We start from the raw sequence: 5,931 nt of genomic DNA, 5'->3' as shown, positions 1-5,931 counted from the left end.
TCTTATTAAGAAGACCAGAATACTCTGGCATATTTCAAAAAGGTTATGTTTCCTCTCCTCTGTCAGAAGCATTAGAATATTCTTCAAAATATTCACTGTGGAACCTGGCAGAACTCCTAAAGTTAAAAAATTGTCCAGGCCTCCTATAACTCAGACCCCATGGAAGCGTTAATTCTTAGAATTATCCACAGGGCCCCCCCACAGCAATTCATTCATTACGGTTGAGGTTTCCTACCCCAGTGCTGGTTCCCATAGAGGTTTCTTCCCATGGGTTTCTTCTCTAGTAACTTGTGATTCTCTGTATTTGCCTGTCACTCTCTCCAATTTTGGAGGCAAAATGTGCCTTAAATTTCCACTTCTGTCATGAGTCTAAGAGTTGTTAATTTTTCAGTTTGTCAAGCTTTTTCCTTATTGTCAGAATGAAATAGTGACTTCTTACATGCCAGCCTGGATGCTGAGTCTCCCAAAATAATTTTTTAAAAAGAAAATTCAACATTAAATGGAGAGTGGGAAATTTATTTTTAAGTAAGCAATGACTTGTTCTCCTTAGATACTCACACTGTAAAAGTGCCTCCCAAACCTCAGTTCCGAGAAGCCTCTTCCAAACTGCTTGCCATAGGGAAAACACATCTAAAAGCCATGACTCCAACTATCCCTTAGCTTTAAACAGTTATTATTTGACCAGTTACCTGATGCTCACCATTTGAGGAATGATGACAAAACCTTCCTCCAATTTGCAGAAAATTAGATCATACTTTTTAGTGGGAACTAATATATTTACTAGTTTGCTTCAGAAATATCCTAACTTATATCAAATTATTAGACTCTTCTGTGGGAACAGAGCTAAACTAAGTAGATTTTGAACTCAAACACATCAGGTGTAAAAACATTGAACCTCTTTGCATTTAAAAGATCAATGTATAATTTGATAGTCTTCTACAGCATCCATTGCCTAGAAAATTATGTTGATTTGTTTAACATTTAAAAATGATAAAAATTTACTCTTTCTCATACAAAACACACAGAGAATACAGGAAGTGATCATGTGTATTAACTATTTTGCAAGAATATGTGTTGCCAACGTGTTCTCTCTGGATTGTGGAATTCTACTGTTTTTTTGGTTTGGATCATAATCCTAAAAGACATAATCCTGGATGCCATAATTCTGAATCCCTAAAAATACAAATCTCTAAAGTTGAAATCCTTAATGTCTAAAATCCCTAACATCTGAAATGCCCACAATCACTCTCACAGGACAGTTGCATTATATTAAATGAAACTATTACCTTGTTATTCTTTTTATTTGGAATTTAAGAATGGTTTAAGGAGATGTGTGTGGCTGCCAAGTTGACAATTAAGTCTTGTGGACTTAATTTTAGGTGTCAACTTGACCAGATTAAGGAATATCCAGAAATCTGGCAAAGTATTATTTTGGGTGTGTCTGTGAGGGTTTTTCCAGAAGAGATTAGTGTGTGAATCTCAATGGACTATGTACAGAAGATCTGGCCTCAGTGTTGGTGGGCAACAATCTATCAGCCCAGGGCTAGGAGACAACAAACACAGAAGGCAAATTGGTCTCTGAGAGCTGGGATAGACATTTCTTCTGCTCTTTGGGTATCAGAAATTTGGTTCCACTAAAGTCCATTATCACACCACTGACTTTGTGTGTTAACATTCTGCATGTATGTGAAAACACTGAAACTTCCTCAATAAATGAAAAGATGTCCTTTTTGTAAATCTGCATTTGTGAAAGATGAAATTTCTCAAGATTTCAGCTCTTTGAGTGATTGAATATGTGATGGCCCTTCATGGTTTTTGCTTGTTCTCCTCCAAACACTTAGGTGTACATCATGTCATTTCAGAGGATTGCAGTTATAAAGCTGGGTGCATACAATCACCAATCATAGTGAAATACATTGTACAATTCACTTTATGGCCTTTAAAAAAAATGAATACAGTTCATCTGCCCATACTCATGCAACTACCATAGGTATATCTGAGTGTTCATGCTTGCAAAAGTATGTATGCTATTATTGTCTATTTTATTGTGCAGTGTGGCCTATAAAATGTTCTCTTGTATTTTTATATTTTCAGATATATCCCTCTTTAAAATGTAAATAAGTGTCTTTTAAATAATTGTATATTATTTTTCCTAGAATTATATTTTTGGGATTTTGATCTTACAGGATTAGAATTTTTGAGATTTTTGGCTTTATAGATTTTGATCTCTCAGGATTTCAACAACTGGGATGATGGTGTTTGGGATTGTCTTTCAGAATTATGATCATCCTCCCCTGTAATTTTATGGTGTGTGTGTGTTTGCTAGGGGTGTGTGTTTTCCAATCTCTAAGGGTAAATACAATTTCCAATTTAAATAATCACAACTGTTATCAATCAACCAATTGCCCAGAGGAGTCAGAGGAAAGTATGAAATTACTAGAAACTGATAGAATCTGATTTCCCACCACTGTAAAAAGTAAAAAGACCCCAAGTCAATACTTCACTAAGACTTAAGATCAACTCTAGAGGCCCCTGTATTTTCTCAACCTTGTCAGGATCTTTGGAGGGCAGACGCCCCATCCACCAGTCATAACCACAGTCCAAACACTCTGTTGGAGATCCCATTGGCTGCTCACACTCAGTCCCCACTCTACTGTGGTGGTAAAGATCGGATTTTTATTTTGTAATGTGTTTCTATTGAAAGGGTCTCACTGAGAATCTCACCAAGGGAAGGAAAGTTGTGGAAACAGCAAGCTGCCTGACTGAGAGGCTCTCGGTGCTCTTCTCACCAAGGAGGGTGAAGCTTTGGGGAGGAAGTGCTGCCTAGAGACCTGAAGGAGGTAGGGTGCATTACAGTACTGTCTTCATGTTACATCAATGTATTAGTTTATTTTCACACTGCTATAAAGAAATACCTGAGACTGGGTAATTTACAAAGAAAAGAGGTTTAATTGATTCACAGTTCTACATGGCTGGGGAGGCCCCAGAAAACTTACAATTATGGCAGAGGGTGAAAGGAAAGCAAAGCATGTCTTACATGGCAGCAGGAGAGAGCAAGGAGGAAAGTGCCACACTTTTAAACCATCAGATCTTATGAGAACTCACTCACTATCACAAGAACAGCATAGGGAAATCCACCCTATGATCCAATCACCTCCCATGACATCTCTCCTCTTATGTGTGGGGATTACAATTTGACATGAAATTTAGGGGGGGACACAGAGCCAAACCACATCATTCTGCCCCGGCCCCTCCCAAATCTCATGTCCTTCTCACATTGCAAAATACAATTATCCCATCTTAACAGTTCCCCAAAGTCTTAACTCATTCCAGCGCTAACTCGAAAGTCCAAGTCCAAAGTCTCATCTGAGACAAGGCAAGTCCCTTCTGCCTATGAACCTGTAAACATAAAAAAACAAGTTAATTGCTTTCAAGATATAAGGCAGGTACAGGCCTTGGGTAAATGCTCCCATTCCAAATAAGAGAAATGGGCCGAAACAAAGGGGCTACAGGCCCCAAGCAAGTATGAACCCCAGTAGGGCAGTCATTAAATCTTAAAGCTCCAATATAATCTCCTTTGACTCCGTATCTCACATCCAGGTCACGCTAATGCAAGAGGTGGGCTCCCAAGGCTCTGGGCGGCTCTGCCCCCATGGCTCTGCAGAATACAGCCCCTGAGGCTGCTTTCATGGGCTGGTGTTGGGTGCCTGCAGCTTTTCCAGGCCTATGGTGCAAACTGTTGATGGATCTACCATTCTGGCATCTGGAGAAAGGTGGTCCTCTTCTCACAGCTGCACTAGACAGTGTCCTAGTGGGGATTCTGTGTGGAGGCTTCAACCCTACGTTTCCCCTCTGCAGTTCCTAGTAGAGGTTCTCCATGAGGGCTCTGTCCCTACAACCTACTTCTGCCTGAAAATCCAGGTGTTTTCATACATTCTCTGAAATCTAGGTGGAGGTTCCCAAACCTCATCTATCACACTCTGCACACCTGCAGGCCCAACACCTGTGGAAGCTCTCAAGGCTTGGGGCTTGCACCCTCGGAAGAAGTGACCTGAGCTATACCTTGGCTCCTTTTAGCCACAGCTGGAGCTGGAGCAGCTGGGATGCAGGGCATCATGTCCCAAGGCTGCACAGAGCAGTGGGGCCCTGGGCCTGGCCCACGAAACCATTTTTCCATCCTAGGCCTCTAGACCTGTGATGGAGGTGTGGGGGTGCTGCCCTGAATATCTCTGAAGTTCCCTGGAGACATTTTCCCCATAGTTAAGAGATGTGTGACTATATAGATAGATAGAAAGATACCCAGAATTGCGACAGAAAATTATTAGCTAGGAAACATGTAATCTTTATTCATAGATAGAAAACTGGATCTCAAGAAAAGCCAGTTATTTCTGATAAAAGTGAAGACAGAGTATGTTCAAAATAGGTAAACTCAAATGAGTTATCAACTAGCTACTGTATCTCTTAGTACGAGTAAGTACTTTAAAATAAATCCTCCCTGGCTGCCACTTTCATGAGGCAGATGTATATAATGTCATTCTACTTCGTGGTGACCTCTTAAAGAGACCTATACTCATCTATACAGAGATACCATTCAGACAACTATGGATTACTGGAGGGTCCATGGAAAGAAAGGAGCAAGCTATTTTATAAAATGATGACATCTTAAGGAATATGTGAGCTGGAAAGGAGTTCCATAGATAAATTTGATTAGGAAGGCGTATAAAATTTTTGAAGAGTGGCAATTGTGAAATCAGACTGCTTGGTTTATATTCCTACTCAACCACTTAGCTGTGTTACCGTAAGAAATTAGCTTCACCTCACTGTGCCTCAGTCCTCTCATTGGTAAAATGGGGACAATAATATGTACTCTGTGGCATTGTTGTAAGAATTGTTAGATAAATCATGTTAAGCATTTAGCATAATGCTTGACATTTAGCAAAAAAGTATCAAATGTTAGCTTTTATTATTATTATCAATCTTACTGAATTTCTTTCATTAGAGCACATTTGCAAACCATTAGTTTACCTACTGTTGGTGAATCAAAATGTGGATTGCTGAAGGAGATTTGGCAGATTTTCTTACAGTGAGAGGGAGATTGCATATTGGATGGAGTAGGAATGCCTCTTAAGGGCCTGCCAGGTCCCTATCGCCTCTTCAAAGCATGGGAATACAGAAAGATTTGGGTCCCTTCAAGGGAAATTCCATTCATCTAGCTTCCTTTGCAACCAGCAACTGGTGACGTGAATAAATAACCTGCTCAGCAAGAAGGTAATAATAACTTAGACAATCAACCTTGTGTAAATTAGAGTCACAAGATGTTTGGTTTCCTGTATAACCTAGTGGTAACATCTTGACATATATCCTCGAATTTTTTTCAGAATCAAGGACTACCACTGCACGAAAAATGCTGATTGCTGTCACATAGACCTCAAACAGAATGGAACCTCAGACAGACCGGAACCCGAAAGTAGATGAGGAAATTCCAGAAATTCCTCAGCCCTAACTCACTTTAGAGAGCCCCCTTACCTCAGCCTTTAACAATCTTTTGCTTGTAAGCTATCAGGGAGTTTTGGTCTTAAATGTTACCTGCCAGTTCTCCTCGTTTTCTGCTCTGCAATAAATGCCTTTTTGTTTGTTTTTTTTTTTTTTTTAATCTCTCTATAAGCCTAGGAGTGTGTGTTTGCCTTTGCTGTGGCAGTCAAGCTGACCCAAGTTTGGTTTGGTAATGCAAATATTAAAAATTGCTTCAAAATAGTTTAAAAACAGATAGAACAAGTGAAGCAATATTTAAATGCAATATGTCCAAAGCTGTGTTACATATGCTAGTTTGGTGAACCAATATAATAATAATAATAGAAAATGGCGATATTATCCTCTTAGATGTTAACAATGGCTGTTTACATATTAAAGACTTTAAAGACTTGTGTACTT

The 5,931-nt window shown here is 39.4% G+C and overlaps 1 annotated feature.

Moving 5' to 3' along the window:
• Window positions 5,191-5,726: an enhancer, noted in NCBI's record as "NANOG-H3K27ac hESC enhancer chr9:5269083-5269618 (GRCh37/hg19 assembly coordinates)". NCBI's record gives its function as "activates a minimal SCP1, AML or CMV promoter by ChIP-STARR-seq in primed H9 embryonic stem cells {active_cell/tissue: H9 hESC(primed)}" and the evidence as "EXISTENCE:reporter gene assay evidence [ECO:0000049][PMID:30033119]".

The sequence above is a fragment of the Homo sapiens genome, chromosome 9, assembly GCF_000001405.40.
Source record: "Homo sapiens chromosome 9, GRCh38.p14 Primary Assembly".
NCBI classification, from domain to species: Eukaryota; Metazoa; Chordata; class Mammalia; order Primates; family Hominidae; genus Homo; species Homo sapiens.
This window is presented reverse-complemented; position numbering and strand designations above follow the sequence as displayed.